We start from the raw sequence: 26,105 nt of genomic DNA on the forward strand, positions 1-26,105 counted from the left end.
TGTGACTGACTTTCTGCTCTGCTGGCTGTGATCACTGCTCCTGCACATTGCCCTTGCTGCTCAGAACAGACACTGTGAGCTATGCCTGTAGGCTTTTGGCCCTGGGGCATCTTCCCCACACCTGGGGCTTGGCTCCCTGGGAGAGAAGGAGAGTTCTTAGCTGCAAGCCACTGGGTGGCCACTCCAGAAGACATCTGGAAGGAGGACTCTCCAGAGGGTTTCTTGGGCCTTTTCTTGTCTGAAGTAATTTGCTCCCTTTTATTTCCCATTTAAAAAATCTGGAGTTATTTCCAATGTTTGGTAATTCCACACTTCATTTGTTATTGTGGGGAAAGTCCTGTGCTGAATTTTTTTCATCCCTACTCTTAAAACTAAATATAGGAATGCCTCATGTCAGCCTGCATTTTGTCCCCACTCAACCCACTGACACTGCCTCTCACCAAGGTTACCATGACCTCCCTGTCAAACCTCATGACCCCTTTCACGCCTTGTTTTACTTGATTTCTGGCAACAATGGTCATTGTCAAGAGCCCTGTTGGTTTAAAACCCTCAATTTGCTTTTGTCTTTGGTGGCACCACACTCTTGAAGTTTTCTGGACATCTCTCTGTCTCAAAGGAGCCTCCTTTGAAGGCTCCTTTCCCCTTAAGAGTTCTTATTTCAGAGAGTCAGGTTTTAAATTCTCTCTCTTTTTTTTGTTTTGTTTTGAGATGGAGTTGCACTCTGTTGCCCAGGCTGGAGTGCAGTGGTGCGATCTTGGCTCACTGCAACCTCCGCCTCCTGGGTTCAAGCGATTCCCCTGCCTCAGCCTCCCAAGGGGCTGGGACTACAGGTGCACACCACCACACCCAGCTAATTTTTGTATTTTTAGTAGAGACGGGGTTTCACCATGTTGGCCAGGATGGTCTCGATCTCTTGACCTCGTGATCTGCCCACCTCAGCCTCCCAAAGTGCTGGGATTACAGGCATAAGCCACCTTAAATTCTCTTCTTAACTCCAGTTGATCTTGTCCCTTTCTGTAGTTCCATTTATCAGCAACATATCTGTGTTGGTGCATTTTGTCACTGCTATAAAGAAATACCTGAGACTGGGTGCTTTATAAAGGAAAGAGGTTTAATTGACTTACAGTTCCGCATGGCTGGGGAGGCCTCAGGAAACTTACAATCATGGCAGAACGAGAAGAGACATGTCTTATATGGCGGCAGGCTAGAGAAGTGTTAGGAGCGAAGAGGGAAGAGTCCCTTATAAAACCATCAGATCTCATGAGAACTCACTATCACGGAGCATTCACCCCCATGATCCAGTCTCCTCCCACCAGTCTCTCCCTAGACATGTGGGAATTACAATTCAAGATGAGATTTAGATGAGGACGCAGCCAAACCATATCAATGCCAAAAACCATATCCCAGATCTCCTACCTGTTCTTTAGGCCCATCTACCCAAATGTCTGCCAAGCCAGTTGACTGTTACACATGAATGGTTCCCCTTCCTCCCCTGCACCCACACCTGTGTGTCTCCCTGTTTCCATGAATTCCATCTGGTGCATGGAAACCTGGCCAGCTTCCTTTACTCATCACTGACTTCTCAACAATGATCAAGACCTGTTGATTCTGTTCTCACAGCAGCCTACCAGTCACCATCCCCACTGCCACCACCTCAGCCCAAGCCTTGGCCATCTGGCCTTCCTGACCCTTTTTACTGGCTCATTCTCTACTCTGAAACCTGTGGGATTGTTCTACCATGCAAGCTTGAACACAGCACTCTCCTGCATAAGAGTCTTTGATGGCCCCATGGATACTATATACTCCTTAATCCTTTTATTAACTGGGAGGCCTGGGTGACCTACTCTGGCTTGCCATTGCAGCGTCTGTTTACACTCTTTACTTTGACCTTACTGTACTTGTTGCACTTCTGCAACCTTGCCCTGTTTCCTCTCATCTCTGGGGAACACTGTGTTCTTAAACATCACTTCCTTCAGAAAGCCTTTCCTGCTTCCCCCTCCTTACACCTTCCTCCTCCATGCTCCCTAAACTTGATGGGAGAACTCTCGCGTGTTAGGGAAGCATCATCCCCAGTGGGGCACTTATCAGTGTGTTGTCATCACCTGGTTATTTGTCTCATTCTCTGTGGGCCATACCTGTCTTCCCAGTTGTATCTCCTCAGTGCCAAGCACAGTGGCTGGAACAGAGTGACAAACATTTATTTATACGTGACATGAATGAGTAAACAAATGAATTACACCGGAATAGATTTCTGGACAATTCATTTTGCAAAAAGAGGAACTTTAGCTCCGCACTTTGGAGATGCCAGTGTCTTTGAGATGTTAAGGACTTTTTGTTTTGTTTTTGTTTTTTAATTCTTTAACTATGTTACAGGTTTAGCAATGCCTCCGATTCAGGAATTTGTTTAAAACCCCCCAGTGGCTTAGAGCTGCACATAGAATAAAATCTAAACTGTTTCTCATGGTCTACATGGTCAGCCATTGTTTACCTGACTTAACTAACCTCTCCGACTTCCCCTGACACGGCTGCCTCCCTGGCTTGTACGCTCCTGTGCTTATTCTTGTCCCCGTACAAAGCACATCCATTCTCGCTGTGAGGCCTTAGCAGCACCTGCTCCTGCTGCCTCAGAAGGTTCTTCCCTGATCCTTACATGCTATAGCCTGCCCTGACCCTTCTGTCCCCACACCCATCACTGTCTACCACATCACTCTGTGTTATTTCCCTAATAGTAGTAAGAGTTGACAACTCTTACTACTCTTACTACTGTTAACTCATCTCAGCTACTATTCTGGAGGAACACAAAGCACTCGGCTTTGGTGCTAACCCACTGGGAGTTGGCCTTATCTTGAACAGTTGCAAAACTCATCCACAGTTCATCATCTGCTGAAGAGTGGCTTGCAGATGATGAACTGGGAAACTCCATAGGTTTCCCTCTGAAATGTTCTTGCCCGGTATTTCACTCGTTTGTCTCTCCTCATGACACTAAGCTCCATGAGAGTAAGGCCTGTCCTGTCTTGTGTATCACAGGATTCTCAGCACTTAGGACAAGACCTGGCTCTGATGCTTCCTAAATATTTGTTAAGTGAATCCGTTTTAGTTTAAAAAAACAATAAAACTTGGTTTGTTGATAAGCTATGAACTCCTTTACCCAAACCCTGTCATTAACATGGAAGATGCACAAGATCATTTATTGTCTACTCTAGCTAATTGGCCTAGGAGATAATTCACATAACAATTGATTTTTATATACTCATAGCCCTGAAATTTCCTGGCTATAAAGACAAATCCCTTGCTCTATGTGTGTGGTGGCCTGGCCATGCCAGTTCTCTTAAGTAAACAGTCACTCTGTCGTTATCCACCCAATTCTCAAAATCAAGCCCCATGTAAATAGTCATCTCCATAAATCCTGTCAAGAAAATTAATTTTTAGGGTACAGTCATTGGTTTTATTGTAGTCCTCCTAATCCTGTGTGACATAGATCCTTTGGAAAGTTGGTGCTACCAGTTGGGAAGTGCCCCAGCAGGCCCCGTGGTTGTCTGGCTTTGTTGACTGTCTGAATGCAACACGTTGACAATGGGTTAGCTGCTTTGGTTTTAGGGTTATTCTCCTTATGCCTCATGCAAATGAAAAGTGGCAAAAAAAAAAAAAAAAAAGAAAAAAAAACCTCATTTCCTTTCCTAGATAAGGCCTGTAGGGGAATTTCGGCTGTTCTTGGTGGCAGTATAATCTCACAAAAGATGTATAAACACAGTGCTTTGCCAAATATTTACAGAGCTGAGGGGCAAGAGGTGGGTTGGCATAGGGCCAGATTAAAATGTCCTGGAAGGTTTTCTGTGATTCCTCAGAATGCCAAATTCATATACATGGTCTCCTCACCTGTGAAATGGGGCTAATGGTAGGACCTGCCTGCTGATCTTATCGTGGGGATTGAGGAGATAATGAGAGCCGTGTGCTCCGTGACCTGCCTGGTAATAAGCCTTCAGTAAATGTTAACTCTTAGTACTATTAGCTCATCTCAGCTACTATTCTGGAAGAACACAAAGCTCACAGCTTTGGTGCTAACCCACCGGGAGTTGGCCTTATCCTGAACAGTTGCAAAACTCACCCACAGTCCATCCTGTGCCGGGGAGCAGCTTGCAGGCAACTCATTTCTTGAGCTCTTCCCTGCCCACACGTACTGTGAGTTGCCAAGAAAGCAGCAGCTGCATTCACCAGTGGAAATTCCCCCGGGGCCTCCTCGGACGCCACCCCTACCTCTGGTTATGGGCGAAGGCGTACCAGGGGAATGGCTTCCTCCACCAACTCCTTAGTGTCTGATGTAGGTCTCTGACTACCAGTGTGAGTCCTGTGGCTCCTCAGCAGTGTCTCTGCGCCTGTCTCTGTCGTGCTCCTAAGCAGGCAGAGATGCTGGTGGAGAATATAGTAGAAGGGACTTGGGGAAGGACTCCATTTTCTTAAGTTTCAGTAGAAGTTTGGATAACCTGTAGTTTTTAAAGATTGATGCTCCTGCCTTCTTTCCTCTCCTCATGGTAACCAAATGGTTTGAAGTTCCCTTTGCCCCTGTTCAGAAACTCTGACCCTTGAATAAAGGGGTAAAGTATTTAGATTCTGAAAGTTTCATGGGGGAAAGGGGTTAAGGGAAAGCAGTGTATGTGTGCAAATGCTGACAGTCTGAATATTACATTATCTATTTCAACAAATAAACCTTGGACCAGATCAGGCTATCCAATACAGAGACAACATTGATCTTTCAGGAGGGATCTGCCAAGTCTGAAATGCCAGCTGTCCCTTCCTGCCCATTAGGGGGTAGAGAATGCCTCTTTTGGACTAGCTGAAATACTCATTACAAATATTCAGGCCTCCCCCTAACCTGAATTAATGTATTATTGCTTATCCTTTTGTCTCTCCCGTAAAAACATGTATAAGGAGCATTCCCTGGTGATTCCCTGAGGGTTATGGAGGGACATTTTACCTGCCAGAGTGTCTCCAGCATCACAGCTGGAGGTGCCGTGGGTGGGGGTCTGTGTGCCTGTGTGTGTGCAGCATGTGTGTATCTACTATATAAAAGCTCATTCATTCCCTTGCTATAATTCAGTGTTCAGACTCAGCTTGCTGACTGATGGACTGGGGGAAGCCAGTAATTCTTAATTCAGGAGAAGAGGCTAAGGGAGAACAAATCTACCCTCCTGTCTCTCATCGGCCCCCTTGTTCTGAAACACTGCAGTGGTTCAGAGAAGTCCCCTCTTAGAGCTTTCATTTCTTTTGGAGGGATGGTTTGAACCTAGACTGGATCTGCCCCATTTTTGCCTTAGCAAGTCTTGATGAGTTCATTGGACAGAGGCAACAAAATCCATATACTCAAGAGACTGAAAAAGGGGAGAGGAGGGAAGGAACGTGTGTGAGGCCAAATTGCCCCACTGGGGGTGGGATTATAAAGGAGTGCGACCTTTCTGGCAATACGTGTTGTAAGCCTTATGATGGGCTTATATTTTGACTCAGCCACTGCACCCCTAGTATTTATCAGAAGGAATTAATGAGAGGTCTATGCAACAGTGAGTGGATTTTTACCCCTGTATTATTTACTATAGTAAGAGAAATAATTTAAATGTCCAACAATACTGATGGTTGGGTAGTTTTCACACAGCCATGAACTACAATGCAACTACTGAAAATTATATTGCTGATAACTGTTTATTAATATGGGGATATTACATAACAAAACTACTTTGTTGAAGAAAACAGAGTGAAAAAGTATGTAAATTATGGTGTCATTTTAATGCACAAGATGAAATATGTATGGATACATATATACACAAAGAAAGGTTCTAAAATAGTCACTAATGTGTTAACTGTGGTACCTGGAGTAGGAGTACTGATAAGATTGGTTTGGTTTTGTCTTTTGCCTGTTGTTTTTTAACAATAAGTATGAAGTCTTTTTATAGCTAGAAACAACAAAGTTTCTTTCTGTATTAAGAAAAAATTTCTGCATTAAAAATATATGTTATGGGGCATCCCTCCTTTTTTTCTTTTACCAAAAACGAAGTAGAAAGAAAGTAAGCTGGCTCTGAATATTTGAATTAAGCAGAGCCCTGGAGTCCTCCTTGTTTATTTTTGCTTTTCCAAAAGCAAATTTTTCCAAAAGCAAAAAATGGCTGCACACACCCTAAGGCTATTTATTTCCTTCCTTAACTCCACTACTTTATCCGGTTCAGCAAGTATCAATCCTTGCCATTCTGTCAAGAGAGCACTTTCTGTTTACCAGACACGGTGCCCACCTCTTGATGTATGTTAACTCCTGCAGTCCACACAAACACCCTTTAGGGTAACTTTTACCCTCGTTTTCAAAAGAGGGGAGTGAGGCAGAGTTGTCACAAGGCTGGCGAGCAGAGGAGTGAAGCTTCCCAGCCACACTCTGCCTGCACTACCCCTCCCTTGCTTTCCCACTTGACCTTGCATCCCCGGTGGGAAGTTTCTCACTGAATGTCCTCTAGGCCTGTCTTCCTAAAGGAGCCATCCTATTTAAAGAGCCAGGATTTAGCTTCTCTGCAGAGATGAGGGCAGGGAGAGAAGTAAGAAGTTAAGAGGCCATGGCTCAGAAGGAAAAGGAGGGAGGAAAGCTATTGCAATGGCCCACCTGCCACCCTCAAGAAAGCCATTCTCAGAAGCCTAACATTCAAGGATCCAGTCCAGCCTACCTTGTCCAGCTTAGGAATGGGAACTGTTTGTCACTCACCTTGTGGAATATTATAATATCACCTTGTAGAGTATTATAATAAGAATGAGCAGTGCCATCTCTGGCAGCATTTGTATGAAACGTTATGTCATGCTGCTTTTAAGAACATGGAGTCCAAGGATAAAGCCAACCCCAAGGAGGAAGTAATGCCCTGTGACTCTGTCCCTTTCCCCCAACCCTGTCCCCACTCCATCTCCACATGGGGCTCCTAAGAAGCCATCCACAGCAGTGCCTAGGGACTCAGACTCCTCACTATGCCACCATCAGTATGAGTGTGGACTGGGAGGTACTGATTCTTCCCCATCTTCCCAGGCCTATTTGCTACAACATCAAGCCTCTCTTTGATAACACCAGCTTTTCTTTGAGCAAACCAATGGAGAAACAGACATCTCCTGTTTTCCTGCCCTGAAAGAAGAGTCTGGGGCTTACTGAAGTTTCATAAATGAGCCAGAGCTCAGGATTGACACCTCCATGTGAACATGAAATTTTGAGCTTTGGGCACAGGTAATTTGATACCTGTGGACCTATTTGCCACTGGTAATACAACCTGAGCACCTATGAACTTGTCTGTGAACATTTTCCATTGGGGAGCTTTGCTGTGCAGACACAGTGACAGGGCTGTGCTAAGACAGGAAGTAATCCTAGAATGAAAGCTCTAGAACCTGAGATGTAGTACTTTTTCTCTCTTTCCATTTGGTTGCATGATGATGCAATTCTGTCTTCATTTTCACTTCTGTGTGGATCAGTGCCTTAGGATTTAGAGATGGTACAAATACCAAGTCCTTAAATCTACTCTTCATTTTAAAATAAAAGCAGCATTTTTTCAGGACAAGCCAAGCATATTCTAATTATAACAGCTACCATTTAGTAAACACTATATGCCAGGCTTTAATATACTAAGTATATTGTATATATTATCTCCTTTAATTATCACCAATCCTATGAGGTGTAAGTATTATTAATGATCCCCATTTTGCAGGCAAAGAAAATGAGGGACACAGAGGTTAAGTTGCCCAGGGTGACACAGCTAATAAGTGGCAGAGCCAGTAATTGAAGGCTATCTGACCCTAAACTCCTGCACTTAACTGTTAATTCAGTATTCTTAAGAATATTGTTTTCTTTTAGAAATCTGCTTATCAAGTATGACAAGTTTTCTCTGAAAACAGATAACCCATGAAACTATTGAGAAGCTTCCAAGCCATTTTTTCCTCTTTTCTATTTAATGTGTATTTATGAGATCATGGAATGGCATTTCACCTGTTTCAACAGCTTCTAGGGCAATTCAAGCAAATTTTCTGGAAGTCTGCTTGGTTTGTGTCAGGCATTTCCTGGTCCCTTGTGTCTGCCGGGCTTGTGGAGGAGGCGTGTGGAAGCTTTTTTCTGAGCCATCCGCCCTGTGGAAGCCACACAGGCAAGGCCAGAGGAGAACAGTGGCACAGGCATTCAGAAAAGCCCAGTTTCCCGACGTCAGTTTGCCTGAGGTCAGGCGGAGCACCAGCACTTTCTGGCTCTTAGAAAATGACTCAACCCCTCCAACCTGCAGCTTACCCCTATGCAAAATCAGGGCTGCCCTTGCAGGACTGTTGGGACGAGTCAGTGACAGGGGAGTGTCCAGCCCTACCTGGCATGTCATAAGTGCACTCTATCCATTGGGAGCTGTTATTTTAGAAGCAGGACTTCGTGTTGTTGCTATGTCTTGCCTCAGCAGAGAGAAACATTTTGCTCTTGACACTGATTGTCCCTTCTCAGCTGTAAGGAGGCCACAGCCCCCTTGATTTTGAACCCAAAAATGGAAAATGAGAGCATTCCATCTCACAGGACACTTTCGCAAACTACACCAGCCCAGTCTGATCCCTCCCTTCTCAGAATCCCTACAGTTCTTTTGACCAAATCTCAGATTAGCACTAAAAGTTTATTAATTCAGTGGATAAGAAGCTTACACATATTTCCAGAGCCAAAAAGAATAATAAAATCCATGCAAACAAATAAAAGGTTTTAGAGGAACAAAGTAATCACAACAGTGTTTTGCTACTAAGTACAATACGTGGGGGCATTCACACTTCCCAGTCATTTCCAGAGCTGACCTAGAACACAATAGGAACCAAGATCAGTGGTTCCCATCTCTGGTTGCTCATCAGAACCACAAGGCCAGAGCAGGAATAGTATTTTGAAGATATAGCTTCTTAGGCCCCAACCCTGCCATAGTCATTCAATTTCTTGCTAATGTTAGGACTTGCCATTTTGTAAAGTACATTTGATTTTCTTTCATTTTTGTAATTTTGTCATTTGTAATAGTCCTTCCCGGAGGGGAGTCTCCCTTCCTTCCTATAGTTTTCTGGGAGAATGACAGAAAATTTGAGTATATATAGTAGAGTACCATTTTGTCATGATAAGGCTGGGTGACAATGTTGGAAGAAGGAAGAGCTGACAGAGACATGCTGTGGGGTTTTGGGGATGACATTGTGGAAAGTTTACCCTCACTAACATTTCAGGTAGGTATATTTGAAAGTGTAGACTGATGATTTCTGAAGGGAACTGAATGAGCTTGTACCACTGTGACCATGAATACCGTTGCAAGTGAATTAACATAAATATACTGACAAAAAGTGAGTAGAACTTTAGAACTGTTACATCTCAGGTAGTGAAAGTGAGGGTAACCTAGAAAAAGGAGGTGTAATAACTGTAGTATCAAACAGTGTGTTGCATCCTGCAAATAGCTAGAGATGTGGCAGGTTACACAGAAGAAGAGAAGTCCCTGGGCTGTTTGTTTGGGGCTTGTGTAGTTCCCCGTTTCCAAAATGGAACAAGCGACATACTCTTTTAAGGGTGCACAGAGACTTCATTGAAAAGGCAAGCATTTGTTTCCCTAAACAGAATGACTTTTTAGCTTTACCAAGAAACAATTTCTTGCAGGAAAAGTATGTTTTGCTGTTATCAGCTACTACTGGGAATTCTGCTACAGACAGGCCAATGTTTACCACTGATCTTCTTTCCACAGTTCTTTCAAAATAGGACCCTTTCCATTAAGTTCACATAGTATTCTGGGAAAAGTCTCTGTGATTAAGCAAAGAGACTGTGAAGGAGCTTAGGCAGAAATGGGGGTTAGCTTTGTTTTAATCCTAAATGTTTAACCATAAAAAAGATGCACTTGGGCTTAAGACAGTGAGCCCTCAGCAGTCTACTTTGTTGAGATCTCGGCTCAGATGTCACCCAAAAGAAGTTGCCCTAGCCACAGAATCCAAATTACACCCACACACCCTCCCCACCCAGGCACCTGCTTTCACACTGCCTTGATTTTAGTTGATTTCATAGCTCTTAATACCACCTAAAATTATCTTCTTTGGTTGTTTACGAGTTTATTTTCTGCTTTACACACTCATAAGTAGTATTTCCTAAATTTTTTCCATTAGGATAATAATTAAAATATTATCAAAAAGCATGTACTTCCAATAAGTGTTTGTTTTTATTTACTTAATTATAAAGTGTATACCTGCCTTAGTAATTGCTATATTACACACATTAGAAAACATAAAAAATATAAATGTTATAAGAATCAGATATTTAAAATGCCAATAGGAGCTTTGATATTTTTCTCCTCCACCAGCCTGTGTTCTCGCCCACCCTACCTTGAAGCCTACTGAACTTGAATGTAAGCTGCCTGAGAGCAGAGGGCTTGCTTGGCTTGTTACCTGCTGTGTTTCCAGTGCCTACAACTGTGCCTAGCATGTACTAGGTGCTAAGTAAATATTTGATTATTAAATATTTATTGTTGAGTAGTAAACAAGGCTAAGGCACAATTCACTCTTCCAGGCTCCTAATAGCTAAGGTTTTACTACATCTTTGGAGGACAGAAGGAGGGGGGGGAAAAAAAAAAAAAGACCTGGTTTCTGGGGTTCAGAATGCCTTCCTAATACAATATGTGCTGAATAAGGATTTACTGTAATGATTCAAATCCTTCACCAAAGAGGTAATTACAGCTTCCTTGGTAAGAGCAGAGCTCAGGCAGACAGACAGGTGGTTTCTAGTTTCTCTTATAACAGATGGCACAAATGGACCAGCTTCTGAAGCTTTTTGAGGAAATTTGCTCATAAACAGTTTTAAATATTTTTCTTTTATATCTTCCAACACATGCTTCTTAAAGTAAAAATGCTTCAGTAGATTGCAGGCAAGGGCACATATTATGAATAGTGCTGCACGGGGCAGGGTGCTTGCAGTTTGCCTGAGTAGCAGATGCAGCATGTCAGGAACATAAGAGGGAGGCTCTGTGCGCCATGGTGGCTAGATATACATTGAATTTTCGAAGTGCTTAAGGAAAAAACAAAGCTGTCCACCAAGAATTTTATGATCAGCAAAACTATTCTTCTCAAATGAAAGTGAAATAAAGATATTCCCAGACAATTTCTAGAAGAAAGCATAGGAGAAAATGTGTAGGTTAGGCAAATACTTAGATTTAACATCAAAAGCACAATTTAAAAAGAAAAAAATTAACAAATTGAACTTGACCAAAATTAAAAATGTTTGCCCTTCAAAAGACACCACTGAAAAAATGAGAGGACAAGCCACACACTGGGAAAATATATTTGCAAATATTATCACTAATAAAGAACTTGTATCCAGAATCTATGCAGAAATCTTACTACTCAATAAGAACATGGTGTCCATAGAATGGAATAGAATTCAGTAATAAACATGAATTGACTACTTATACACGCCAGAACATGGGTGAACTTCAGAAAACATGCTAAATGAAATGTCAGACACAAAAGACCACACAATATGCAATTCCACTTTTGTGAAATATCTAGAAAAGGCAGATCTCTAGAGTTAGAATGCAGATCAGTGGTTGCCTGTGGCTGAGCATGGGAGCAGGGCTTAACTGCAAATGGCAGGAAGGACCTTTTTGGGGTGATGGTGGCATTATAAAACTGAATATGGATGATGCTTGCACAGCTCCATCAGTATTCTAAAAGTTGTACACTTAAGTAAGGCAGATAAATTTCATGGTATATAAATTATACCTCAATAAAGCTGTTTTAAACTCTCCCAGGAGTACAAAGCATTCCTTAAATGTTGATAACTGTTGTTGTTTTTATTATTCTGTAGGTAGTGTAGACAAATGATACCAAAATTAAGAGAGAAACATTAAATGACTGTGTACACCTTGCTTGAGTGGACAAATATGCTTTTCATTCATTAAATTGGCTCTTCCAAATAATTAAGTAGATCTTGGGAAAATATATGCCACACTTTTACAAGAGGGTATAAAAGGATTAGTGGCCGAGAACAGAAATTTCCAAAATGTGAGCTGTGTGACACTGAGATAGCTGAAATAGCTTTAAGTGGTGCTTGGGTGAACTTTATTCTATATACTAATAATAATGAGATATTATTTGCAATGGGCTAAAGTAGACATTTGTTAAAGAGATCAATCTAAAGAAAATATTAAGAAAATATGTATTAAAATTACATGTGATACACAGATGTGACAAACGTCATGAAGGTGGGACACTCATGACTGAGTTTGGGCGCCACCACCCAGTAGCCAGGAGCAAGAACAATGCCAGTGGGTGGCTGAGAATGAATACTGAAACACAGGCATTCATCCAAGTTTATGCCCAATGTGCCTGTCTCCCTCCCAACCAGAAATGAAATGTCTGAATGTCCCCTTCCATCGTATTTGTCAGGCCTGTCTTAGGCAAGCCGACAAGTGGCCATATGTGGAGCTGTCGTGACAACACCAGAATGAGAGCTGTACCGTTTTATGACATCAGATAATTCTGACTCAGAAATGTCTGCCTTCCCTGTCTGCCAGCAGTCTTACCCTTGGTTTCTGGTAGATCCATTTCCATTCTTTTAACTATTTACTTGATCCTGTGGAGTCTTTCTTAAAAATACAGTCTTTAGATATTGTCAGTTCTAAGCATTCACAGTGTGCAAGAGATAAAAGAGGGATAAGACAACTGCAATTCAATGTAGCATCAAGACGGGAAGAAAAACACAGCCCTTGAAGATTCCAAGGAGAAAGATCTAACTCACTGGAGAAAGATCAAACTCATCGTGATATCAAAGAAGCCTGAGGAAGGAGGTCGCATTTGAAATGGGCTTTGAGTGGCGGATGAGCAGTGGTTACAGGAAAGGGAAAGGCATTTCAGATGGGAACAGCAGCACCAGCAGGAACATGGAGGTGCAAAAGGTTAAAGCATACTCATGGCACAAGTAAAGCCATTTGTTTAGAACAGGGGTAGGCAAACCAAGGCCCACAGGCCACATCCAGCCAGGTGCCTGCTTGCTCTATGGCTTGTGAGAAAAGAGTGTTTTTCCATTGTTACATTTTAAATGGTTATATAAGTAGCTAAATAATATTCTCAGTTTTGCCTCTTGGCCTGCAATGTCTAAACTATTTACTTTATGGCCCCTTAAGAAAAAGTTTGCTGACTTGGAGACCCCTGGGGACTTTGAAGGCAAGTAATGAGTACTGAGAGGGGAGTTGGGGCTCTATTGTGAAACGCCTTGGAATGAGGAAACCCAGCTAGCTTAAGGGAAAAAAATGGAAGTCATAAGCTGACATTTTGGGAAGTCTCATGGTGGATCTAACCCTCAGCACATTTGGATTTAAGAGCCCAAATTATCATTTTGCTTGGCTCTTCTTCCCTCTTTTTTTTTCATGTTAACTTCATTTGCAGACAGATGTTGGCCATGTAACATGAAAAAAGATCTCTGGTCACCCTAAGCCAATACATTTTATTGTTGGATCCAGAAAGAAGAGCATTCATATGCAGTAGGCGCTCCTCATCTACGGTTTTGCTTTCCTTGGCTTCAGTTACTTATGGTCAATGACTGTCTGAAAATATTAAATGAAAAATTATAAAAACAAATAATTTGTAAGTTTTAAACTTCATAGCATTCCAAGTAGCATGATGAAGTCTTGCTCCCCACATGATGAAGTCCTGCTCCCCGGGACAGGAATCATCCCTTTGCCACACTGTGGACACTGGCCACCCTTTAGTTGTTTAGTAGCTACCTCAGTTATCAGATTGACTCCAGGTATTACAGTGCTTATTTTCTTTTCTTTTTTTTTTTTTTTTTTTTTTTTTGAGGCAGAGTCTCGCTCTGTCACCCAGGCTGGAGTGCAGTGGCACGATCTCGGCTCACTGCAACCTCCGCCTCCCAGGTTCAAGCGATTCTCCTGCCTTAGCCTCTTGAATAGCTGCGATCACAGGTATACAGCCACCAAACCTGGCTAATTTTTGTATTTTTAGTAAAGGTGGGGTTTCACCATGTTGGCCAGGCTGGTCTCGAACTCCTGAGCTCGGGTGATCTACCCACCTTGGCCTACCACAAGTGCTGGGATTACAGGCGTGAGCCACCATGCCCCGGCCTACAGTGCTTATGTTCAAGTAACCCTTACTTTACTTAACAGTGGCCCCAAAGTCCAAGAGTGGTAATGCTGGCAATTTGCATATGCTAAAGAGAAGCCGTAAAGTGCTTCCTGTAAGTGAAAAGGTGAAAGTTACTGACTTAAGGAAGGGAAAATATATGCTGAGGCTGCTACGGTTTATGGTACAGTAAGATATTTTGAGACATTACATTCACATAATTTTCATTATATTGTTATAATTGTTTTATCATTGTAGTTGTTCATCTCTTATTATGCTTAAATGTATAAATTAAACTTTACCATAGATATATACATATAAAAAACATAGTATATACATAGTTTGGTACTATCCACGGTTTCAGGCATCCACTGGGCATCTTGGAACATAACCACCGAGGATAAGGGGGCACTACTTTGTTAGACTCCACAGATGAACAAGGGTCAGTTGTCCACACTGACCACTGTGGCCAGCCTGGATCACATGCCTGCCCTGCAGTGAAATCAGCAGGACACTGGACTCACCTGGGTCACTTAGGATGGAAAAGAACTTCTCCAAGTGAACCAGAAGAAGGGGAATGCAAAAATTCTAGAATAAACTGTAACTACATATTCCAGTCTGCCAGAGTAAGGAATTTATTCTACATTCGTTAAGTAATGAGAAATTTATGAGCAGGAAAATGCTCTTCATTCAACAACATTCAACAAATATTTATTAAGCTATGTCTTTAGCAGGTGTTTGTACTTACAGTGCACAGTAGGATGGACTGGAATGGTAAAAGGTAAAGAAAACAGGCTGGAGATTCTTATAATAGTCTAGGTGAGAAGGCCTTATCCTATGAGCAATGGGGAAGCATTGAAGTGTTTTAAGCAGAGAAATGATGTAATCATCAGATTTGAATTTCGAAATGTTCACCAAGAATAGTTCTCTTAAGTTAAGCATTTATGTATGAAACCTTTTTGCACTATAAGTTTGCTTAGTAACTTGTAGATTATCCAGAGTAAATTTGGATCCACCTCAGATTTGGAAAAAAAAAAAAATTTTGTGAGATCAGAATTGTGTTTTGCCATGTCCATTTTTCATTGACTTCTCTGTGGATATTTGGTTTTGAAGGACAAGAACTAGAAGAGAATATAAAAATGATTTTCCTTCAATTTGTTTTTATTCACAGATGGTGAAACTCTTTTTCTCCAGCGGAAAGGGTGATTTTGCTGGAAAATCATTTAAAGTTTTTTCCAGTCAAGTCAATAAGCTCCTCAGAACCAAATGAACAAGGGGTAAAAATCACCATGAGGCTTAGTAAGATTACATTCCTCCATGGCAGCCTGCGCCAGCCATTGTGGAGGGCCAGCGGGAACACAGGGAGAGTGTCAGGTTTGTGAATGGTCACGCTGAAGGAGCAGGGCCAGGTGTGGAAGATATAAATGGAGTAGAGAAGAAGCTTGAACAGATTAAAATCAGATCAGAGACAATTTTCCACATGTTTAGACTACTAAATAAGCACCAGAATTAGAGGGAAGGCTGCTACTCGCTTGGAGGGAAAGAAAGAGACTTGGAGACTTTTAGCCTTTTCATCAAAGTTCATCTCTCTTTCTCTCTCTGTCTCATCTGCCTTTCATGGTATCCGGACCAAGGTTCGTGCATTTGCAAGAGTTTAACTTAATCATCCTGGACATTGTCCTTGCAGAAGTGCTGCTTCTATTGCTGAAAAGTCCTGAACATAGTGAAATATTATAGTAGGCTCCTTACTCAAGGAATCTCCTCTCCAGGGTTACCTGTAAGCTGAAATGCCTTGGGCCACTGCTGCTAATTTTAGTTACTCCTTTGTTTTCAGCAGTGGACATTTAGATTCTTATTAAATCTTTTTCCTCCCCCTAGTCCAAACAGGAAATATTCCCTGAAAGTAGACCATACAGGAAAGTATGCCAGAGAGCCAATGCCCCTCAGCCTGTGTTGTTAACATGTTGTGCAGCTTACTCAGAATGCTACATCAGAGACATCCTCCTTGACGTCCCCCTACCCCAGGTAAAAGGAAGAGACCATTGATTTACTGTAATAAGTTTCCCAAAATAAAAAAGTCTCTAAAAGAGTCAACATAATTTCTCAGTGCAGTAGGCAGAGAAACAGTACAAGTTGGGAGCTGCCAACTGTATTATGCAACCTAAACCGTGGATTGGTGCAACAAAGGCTGAACTATCATTTTGCCTCTATTAAACATCCTTCTTCTATGGAGTAAAAGTTGTAGTTTGGGTGGCTGGGGAGACTTTTTTTTTTTTGTAATATTTATTAAGTTGTGGTTATAAAAGTAACATGTTAATTGCAAAAATATGTTTTAAAAGCACAAAAACTTTGCGTATGGGAACAAGGGATATAGGGGAATTCTGTACTTTCTGCTCAATTTTGCTGTGAACCTCAAGCGACTCTAAAAAAATAAAGCTATTTAAAAGTTACCTTTAATCTCATCACCCAGGGAATGCTACTAATATGTTAAGGTACTTACTGTTCATATGTTTTAAGATAGGCTTGAACGTGTATTAAAAAGTACATGAAATATAAATGTACGTCTTAACAAATTATTATTTAGCAAACACCCCCTAAATAATACTAAATTATTATTTAGTAACCACCCCCTCACCCCCCACTGGTTAAGAACTGCAGCCTTGCTGGTGTCCACATCTCTTGCTTTCTCCTCCCCCATCACAGTCCTCTTCTTCCCCACAAGGGCTCTAATCTCATGTTTATGGCAATCAATTAGTTTTTATTTATATTTTAACCTCATAAATACAGTCCATTCTTGTTTTTCGCGGTAGTCATGTTCTATAAAGTCACTGCAAACACGGAATTACTGAATACTAAGCCATTGCATGGAGGGGAAATACAGAGTGAGCTTCCTGTAAGCCCCTGGTCACAACATTTTCATCACCTGATCAGTACACCACCCTGTTTTATATGTATTTCTGCCTAAAGTCACCTCATTTAATATTATTGTTGATTTATTAACATTGAACTTAGGACCAGCAGCACTGTTAACTCATGCCTGGAGCTCATCTAACACACACATTTTCTCTATAAGGCACATTACAACCTTCTTGTGCTTAGGAACATTTGACAGTGCTTCAGCTGTATGCTTAGGGGCCATTTTAAATGGCAAAATCACCATTGAAGAGCATGAAAATGTGGTACTAGGTAGACCTCAAACAGACACTTGTTTACAGTATGAGAGCTGAAACAAGAAGGCAGAGCTTTGCCTTGTTTGACCTCAGCTGGGAATGTGCCGTTGGGCGACTCAAGGTTTTTGCTGCTCTGCACATGTCCTCGGATGACCTCAACAGCACCCCAGATGTTGATTTTGAGGTTACAGATACATTTTAGTAAGTAGGTGAATTTGCAAATAAGGAATATGGAAATAATGAGGATAGACTGTATATATCCCTAAATGCAACATTTTATTGTTTTGAGTTCAACTTCATTTGCTCAACCACATTTAAGTCATTTATGTTGCTGTAGTTCATTTTCATTGCTGTAGAGTGCACCATTGTATTAATACACAAAAATTATTTTTTTATTCCACTTTTTCTAAAATTTTGAATTTCCATTTTCTGCTTTTACAAATAATTTGCTCTACACATTCTAATACATGTCTTCCAGTGTACACATAACACACCTTTCTCTGGGGTGTATGTCTAGCAATGGAACTACTGGGTCCAAGGGAATGGTATCTTCACCTTTGCTAGATAATGCTACACTATTTTTGAAAATGATTGTAGCAATTTACACCCCTCCTGCAGCAAAATATGAGTTACAGATGAGAATGAGATGTACCTCATTCTCATAAACCTCTGGTATTTCCAGCATTTTGATGTTAGCTATTTAGTCATTCTGGTGGGTGTGCAGTAACATCTCACTGTGGTTTTAATCTGCATTTCCTGCAGCACAGAAAGGTTGAGTGCCTTTTCTTTTGGATTTTCTCTTTTAACATCCCTATTCAGGTTTCTTGCCCATTTCCCACTTGGTTGTGTTTTACTCACCAGTAAGAAATCTTTACATAGTCTGGTTATAAACCCTTTGTTCATTTTTATGTTGTAGGCTGCCTTTTTACCCTTTTAATATTGTTTTTGATATGCCCTCTCTATGCCCTACTGGATAAATTCCAACCCCTGTTTGGGAACCTTCAGTTTCTGGAATTATTTCTTCTAAAATCTTTATTGTTTGCCTTTGGCATTTAGGTCTATAATCCATCTGGAACACATTTGTTATGTATGGTGTGAGGTAGGGGATTCTGTCATTTTTTTCCATATAGATATCCAGTTAGTCTAGCACCGTGTATAAAAGAGCACTTTCCACTAGTAGCATAAAATCGTATAGGCCCATGATAAATTCCTAACAGTATAAATAAAAAAGTGAATGTCTAGTCCATATCTGTACATCCAGTTCCCCACTCTCAACCCCCTGAGGCAGTCATAGTTTCTTGCTTACAGATTTTAAGAATCATGTTTAAACATCTCTAGCATTTAAACAGTGGCTTTAGATTATACCCCAGAACAACGAAAGATTGGATGTAGTAGCACTATTGCGTCCCTTTTATTTGTATGTTACTTGAGTGAATTTGTTTTGGCAAGCACAATATCTTCATTATGTGGAGAAAGGCAATTGTACCATACTCAATTTAAGAGTTATATGCCTAGTAAGGAAGTATTGGGATTTCTTAGCAACTATTCAGATCTTTTGAGATAGCAATTGTTACCATATGAACACTTTATAATGCCCCCAAAATGCTTTAGTGTTTTCTTACAAATAAATTCACATATTGTGAAATTTTTTAGTTGAGAGAAATTTTTATTCTAGGCAGTTCTGTTGTGCCTGAAATGCGGTATTGGAAAAGATTGAGAGGCTACACTTAGGTTCAACAGGAAAGAATATTAAGGTCAATAAGTATTGTGAGCCACGGTGCACAATAGAAGCATTCTGCCCATTTAACCTTTCTGACCCTTTCCCTTGAGGTTTTTCTGTACAATGAGCAATTGAACTAGGACTGTTGTCCAGATGTCTTTGTTTCCAATCTGGAATTTTTCCCTCTACCTCATATTTCTGTATTATTCAGTGAGAAAAGATTCGGATTATTGACTTGGGGAACATTAAGGATGATGTATGCGCTATTCCAAAATCTTGAATTTTGTTTAAATCATAGAATTACTTACCATTCCTACTCACCCCATCTAAGTTTAAAGTTTATTTAAAACTTCAGAAATTATTTTATTTGTGTAAATAATTTCAACTTTTAGATTCAGGGAGTACATGTACAGGTTTGTTCCATGGGTATATTGTGTGATGCTGAGGTTTGGGGTACAAATGATCCCATCTCCCAGGTGGTGGCCACAGTACCCAATAGTTTAAGAATTATTTTTTAAAGCTAGAAAACAGAACCGCTGCATTGTAAACTAGTCAAGCTATTTTTAAAGTAAATTATTGAAGAAGTATTTTAAAATGCATTTCCCTATTATTGTTAAGACCTTAAGGGGATTTCACTAGTTTCATTAAAATAAGAAACCGAACTCTGTCATTGTTTAAATAAAAATGCATGTTAAATTATATTAGATGAGGGGAAATAATCTGTGCAAAGACATCTGCACATGAGTAGTAGAAAAGAACACGAAACAGTCAAGCTCAGGGACTTGTGGATTTTTTCTGCTCATAAAGTTGTGAAGTACATACTGAAAATCCAGGAGGTTAGGACTTATATAGGATTTCTTTGTTGTAAAAGCTTGAGTGGACACACATAAGGAATATATGTCTTCAGATTTTCAACAGATAAAAACTGGTTTTGTGTCATTTGGTCTGGTTCACCAGTAGCCAATTTACCACTGTTCCTTTTGGCTCTATTTTCTTGGCTAAAGTTTGATTTCCCTTTACCTTAAGTCAAGCCAGAAAGGGATATTTTCCAAGGAAGAAGAATTCAATGAAATGGGATTAGATTAGATAGGACATTTTAGATTTTCATGGAATTTTCTTCTCTTTTTCATCATAGGGGCAAAATCAAAGCCGCCCCCTGTTAGTTTAATAGCACCATCACCACCTAACAGTCTAACCTGGAAGGGGAACTGACAGCATAAAGACCAGCCCTGGGCCGGTGATCCGAGGCTCAGCCCAGGCCTGAGACATATCACTGGGGACCTGGACTGCAGATCATGGGCCACTGCCTGGCAGAGACGTGCAAATGCCAATTTTGCTGCTTCTCCAAAGTCTGACACTGTGGAGACTCTTAGTGCAAGACTCTCAGGCCCTTCCTTGTGTGCCTTATCCCTCTGACTTCATCCTTGTTTTGAAAGTCCTACACTAAGCTACAAATCCACTACTTTCTTTTCCTCTGGGAGCAGCCATACCTTTCAACTAGGGGGTCTCACATCTCCAGGTTGTGGATATCTGTCTCTTTATCCATCAGCCTGTCTCCTTCCCCACACAACCCTCTTGTCAAAATGCCCTTTGGAAAATTAAACATTGCTTCCACGTGGAAACAGAACACAGGAAGGGAATTGTATTCATTCGTACATCACTGAAAAGACCAGGAAAGCAAAGAGTCCAGGGTAACCTCTGAACACTGAAAAAATGTTCATCTAATTTTTTTCTAATGATCATGCTCAATGTTGGTGGGGTAATGGTGAGAAGGAATTGTCAGTGTTGGTGGAAATGCACAGCAGTAGAACCTTTCTGGAAAGCTATTTGGCACGGTATATCAACACCTTTAAAAGAAACTCCTAGCCTTTGACCCACTAATTTTACTTTCAGGAATTTATGCTAAGGAAACAATTGAGACACTGGCAGGGATTCTCTACAAAGATGTGAGTTGCAATGCTATTTATAATAGCTAAAGGGGGATAGGAGTCTGAATATACACAATAAGAAAATGGTTACAGAAATCAGAGTATACCATACAATAGAACAGCCTGTAGCCATTTTAAAAATATGTTATCAAAGGCTATATAATTGCATTGGAAAATGCCTTATTAAGGGAAAAAAAGGAGGGTATTAACTACATGTGTAGTATAATTCTCCAAAAAAAAGCGAGGAGAAATATGCCAAAGTGTTAACAGTGATTATCAGTGGCATAAATTATGTATGGTTGTATTTCTTTTCTTCTTGGTTTTTGGTATTTTCCAATTTTCTACAAGGCCGTCAGTAATTTTCATTATTAGAATTTTGAAAGATTAACTTTCTTCTTCGTGGTCAGCTTACTCCTCCAGTTACAGAACCTCTCATCTTATAGCAGCTCTACTACTGTGGTGTGGAGATCAGAGAGGGTCTGCCACATCCCTTGTCAGACTGGGAGCCTGCCTGGGCAGCCCTGCCACAGTATGGCAGGCATGCCCTGGCTGGTCCAGCAGATGTTCCATCATTCAAGTGAGTCACCACAGAAGGGTGTCAAGCTGATGATATTGCTACACACTGTACTTGAACTATCAGCCACAACCCATTATGCTGCCAAGCCTTTTAGCCTTATCTTCCTAAACCGTTATTCTTTCACTGTCCAGTGAATTTCAGAGACTGACTGGGACTGTCTGACTCCTTTTGAGGACACTGTGGGCCAGCAAACTAAAGTGGATGTAAGCCTACCAGTTGAATCCAAACCAGACCAGCAAATGTTCCTTGCATGCTACAGTGTATGCTGTGTTGTTGCTGTCATTGGGCCTAGATGTGGGGGCCTGGCAGGACCCCAGGAATATTTAGGGGCACTGGGCATTCAGCTTAATACACCCATCTGGACTCTGAGGGTTGTAGGAATGCCTTTAGCAGTCATCTGCTAAAATTGTAGTTATAAAATCATTTTCTCCTCTTTTAATTGTTTGTTATCCTTGGCTTCATTAGTGGGAAAGGGGTTGCAAATTTGATATTGGAGGTTTCAGAGCCAGGAGTGAAATTGACCATTTTGAAATTTGTCTGTTTTGTTTTGGGTTTGGTGAGGGGCAGGAGGGAGCAAGATTTTTATTTTGTTTATTTATGTATTTATTTTTGTCTGCCGTTGTCATTTTTAAGTAACCTACAGCCAGACACTTCTGTAGTGAAAGGAGAATTTAAGATTCTACAAAGAGTCTTGGGCCATAATAACCATCCCTGTGCGTCTTATATCTCACATATGTGTTCTATGAGTATGAGAACACATAGTCATACACCCTTAGTTTTGCATCAGAACTAAAATACAATGTACTCTCTATTTCTTGTCTGTTTACAGTCCTTCTGTTGCGACATGCATCTTTGCAGTACATAAAATGTGCAGTAGTATTGTTGATAGGATTATTGCCATGACTCTAAAGTACAAATAAACAAAAGGCATAATTCCTTTAGTCATTTAAAAAATCACAGAAGTGAAGAGTGCTGTAGATGTCTGTTAGGTCCGCTTGGTCCAGTGCTGAGTTCAAGTCCTGAATATCCTTGTTAATTTTCTATCTTGATCTGTCTAATATCTCAGTGGGGTGGTAAAGTCTCCCACTATTATTGTGTGGTAGTATAAGTCTCTTTGTAAGTCTCTAAGAACTTGCTTTATGAATCTGGGTGCTCCTGTATTAGGTACATATATATTTAGGATAGTTAGCTCTTCCTGTTGCATTAAGTTAGCTCTTCTTTTTGCATTGATCCCTTTACCATTATTTAATGCACTTCTTTGTCTTTTTTCATCTTTGTTGGTTTTAAGTGTTTTATCAGAGACTAGGATTGCAACCCCTGCTTTTTTTTTTTTCCATTTGCTTGGTAAATTGAAGTGAACTGCCATTCACAATTGCTACAAAGAGAATAAAATACCTAGGAATACAACTTACAAGGGATATGAAGGACCTCTTCAAGGAAAACTACAGACCACTGCTCGAGGAAATAAGACAAGGACACAAACAAATGGAAAAACATTCCATGTTCATGGATAGGAAGAATCAGTATCATGAAAATAGCCATAAAATAGCCATACTGCCCAAAGTAATTGATAGATTCAATGCTATCCCCATCAAGCTACCACTGACTTCCTTCACAGAATTAGAAAAAACTACTTTAAATTTCATATGGAACCAAAAAAGAGCCCGTATAGCCAAGACAATCCTAAGCAAAAAAACAAAGCTGGAGGGAACATGCTACCTGGATTCAAACTATATTACAAGGCTCCAGAAACCAAAACAGCATGGTACTGGTACCAAAACAGATATATAGATCAATGGAACAGAACAGAGGCCTCAGAAATGACGCCACACATCTACAACCATCTGATCTCTGACAAACCTGATAAAAACAAGCAATGGGGAAAGGATTTCCTATTTAATAAATGCTGTTGGGAAAATTGGCTAGCCATATGCAGAAAACTGAAACTGGACCCCTTCCTTACATTTTATACAAAAATTAGCTCAAGATGGATTAAAGACTTAAATGTAAGACCTAAAGCCGTAAAAACTCTAGAAGAAAACCTAGGCAATACCATTCAGGACATTGGCATGGTCAAAGACTTCATGACTAAAACACCAAAAGCAATGGCAACAAAAGCCAAGATTGACAAATGTGATCTAATTAAACTAAAAAGCTTCTGCACAGCAGAAGAAACTATCATCAGAGTGAACAGGCAACCTACAGAATGGGAGAAAATTTTTGCAATCTATCTGACAAAGGGCTAATATCCAGAATCTACAAGGAACTTAAACAAATTTACAAGAAAAAAAAACAACCCCATCAAAAAGTGGGTGAAGGATATGAACAGATACTTCTCAAAAGAAGACATTTATGTGGCAAACAAACATATAAAAAAAACACTCATCATCACTGGTCATTAGAGAAATGCAAATCAAAACCACAGTGAGATACCATCTCATGCCAGTTAGAATGGCAATCATTAAAAAGTCAGGAAACAACACATGCTGGAGAGGATGTGGAGAAACAGGAATGCTTTTACACTGTTGCTGGGGTTGTAAATTGGTTCAACCATTGTGGAAGACAGTGTGGCGATTTTTCAAGGATCTAGAGCCAGACATACCATTTGACCCAGCAATCCCACTACTGTGTATACACCCAAAGGATTATAAATCATTCTACTATAAAGACACATGCACACGTATGTTTATTGCAGCACTGTTCACAATAGCAAAGACTTGGAACCAACCCAAATGCCCATCAGTGATAGACTGGATAAAGAAAATGTGGCACATATACACCATGGAATACTATGCAGCCATAAAAAAGGATGACTTCATGTCCTTTGCAGGGACATGGATGAAGCTGGAAACCATCATTCTCAGCAAACTAACACAGGAACAGAAAACCAAACACCGCATGTTCTCACTCATAAGTGGGAGTTAGTGAGAACACATGGACACAGGGAGGGGAACATCACACACCGGGGCCTGTCAGGGGGTAGGGGGCTAGGGGAGGGATAGCATTAGGAGAAATACCTAATGTAGATGATGGGTTGATGGGTGCAGCAAACCATCATGGCACGTGTATATCTATGTAACAAACCTGCACATTCTGCACATGTATCCCAGAACTTAAAGTATAATTAAAAAAAAAAAAATCACAGAAGTACTATGGAGTATGCATTTTATTATTATACCAATTCAAACATAGTGGTAATAAATGTTAAAATGCAGTCACTTTATACCAAATGTTACTGCTATGGCTAAAACATAAACAAATGAAATTCTGAAATTCTGTTGTTAAAAATTGCATTTGAGGCCAGGCATGGTGGCTCATGCCTGTAATTCCAGCACTTTGGGAGGCCAAGGTGGGTGGAACACCTGAGGTCAGGAGTTCAAGACCAGCCTGACCAACATGGTGAAACCCTGTCTCTACTAAAAATACAAAAAATTAGCCAGGCATGGTGGGGGGGATCTATAATCCCAGCTACTTGGGAGGCTGAGGTAGGAGAATCGCTTGAACCCAAGAGGCAGAGGTTGCAGTGAGCCAAGATTGTGCCATTGCACTCCAGCCTGGGCGACAAGAGCAAAACTCCGTCTCCAGAAGAAAAAATTGCAGTTGATACTACGGTAATTGACATGGGGATTGAGGAGTAAGTTATTATAATAGTTACGAATATCCTGCATTCCAGCCGCACCCCCAGATAATTTCAGCCGTGTAGTTCTGGCCAAAAACCACTTAGATATCTGAGGATGTGAAAAACATTTAGAACCCACATTGTGTTCACAGAATATGTTCCAAACTATGCCATTAGCCAAAGGCATAATTCTTGGTACAGATGGAATAGGAAGCTGGAGGTGTTTCCTACTTATTAAAGTCATTTAAAAAAAAAAAAGTTGGAAGGACTTTTTAATTGTCCTGTGGTAACCACTGACCAAAAGAACAGATTGGTACAAGCCCCTGGGTCTGGGCTGTTCTCTTGAACCTCCAAATTGTCCCTGGTTCTGCTTGGGTTCCTGGGCTGGGCTGTGGTTTGAAAGTTGTTGCCAGGCCTTGCCTACTAGGTCATTGTCTGGTGGGGCAGGGTTGTGTTGAGAGGACTGAGAAAGTGAGGCCTCTCTGACTAGCAGCAACTGTGGAAGAAAATGGAGACTGCACAGTAGAGAGGAGTTGACACTTTTCCTAGGACTCAAGACAGAGTCAAGGGGGAGCCAGGTATTAAGCTAGTACTAGCTTAGCCCTCAACTGATGGATCTTACTGTCTTACATTACTGTTGTTTTTAAATCTGTCGCTTCTTGTCAAATATATTTTAAGCTCTTGAAGTCAAGGGACCTTGGCAAATATCATTTATTGTATTGAACATACTGAGTGCTCAATGACTAGTTTTTGCTGGATTAAGAAAAAAAAGCTTTAAAGAGTCATACTCTTTACATTTTATTTCTTCTCTTATATGAATGCCATCTGCTATATGAATCCGCCAGACCGAACACTGGAGGCAGGATTGGGGATTTTGTTGGAATTTAGAATATGTTGAGTCTTATTGTGATTCTCTATCACTGTATTGTCATTTTCCCTTGCAAATAGGGTAGGTATCTAAAGGAAACACATGAATCAGTGG

General features: G+C 40.8%; 1 protein-coding gene and 1 long non-coding RNA gene across 34 annotated transcripts in view, besides 3 other annotated features; both read left to right on the plus strand.

The window, feature by feature from the left end:
- ARHGAP26 (Rho GTPase activating protein 26) overlaps positions 1–26,105 on the plus strand; it is a 458,635-nt gene that overhangs the window by 409,062 nt on the left and 23,468 nt on the right. The window lies entirely within an intron of this gene.
- Positions 3,895–4,054: an enhancer, noted in NCBI's record as "active region_23328". NCBI's record gives its function as "activates an Ori minimal core promoter by ATAC-STARR-seq in GM12878 lymphoblastoid cells {active_cell/tissue: GM12878}" and the evidence as "EXISTENCE:reporter gene assay evidence [ECO:0000049][PMID:35858748]".
- Positions 4,375–4,424: an enhancer, noted in NCBI's record as "active region_23329". NCBI's record gives its function as "activates an Ori minimal core promoter by ATAC-STARR-seq in GM12878 lymphoblastoid cells {active_cell/tissue: GM12878}" and the evidence as "EXISTENCE:reporter gene assay evidence [ECO:0000049][PMID:35858748]".
- On the plus strand, positions 13,062–14,728 carry ARHGAP26-IT1 (ARHGAP26 intronic transcript 1). Its single transcript, NR_046816.1, has 2 exons — positions 13,062–13,194; positions 14,474–14,728. It is a non-coding gene; the product is annotated as an ARHGAP26 intronic transcript 1 (long non-coding RNA).
- Positions 21,404–21,563: an enhancer, noted in NCBI's record as "active region_23330". NCBI's record gives its function as "activates an Ori minimal core promoter by ATAC-STARR-seq in GM12878 lymphoblastoid cells {active_cell/tissue: GM12878}" and the evidence as "EXISTENCE:reporter gene assay evidence [ECO:0000049][PMID:35858748]".

The sequence above is a fragment of the Homo sapiens genome, chromosome 5 (assembly GCF_000001405.40).
Source record: "Homo sapiens chromosome 5, GRCh38.p14 Primary Assembly".
NCBI lineage: Eukaryota > Metazoa > Chordata > Mammalia > Primates > Hominidae > Homo > Homo sapiens.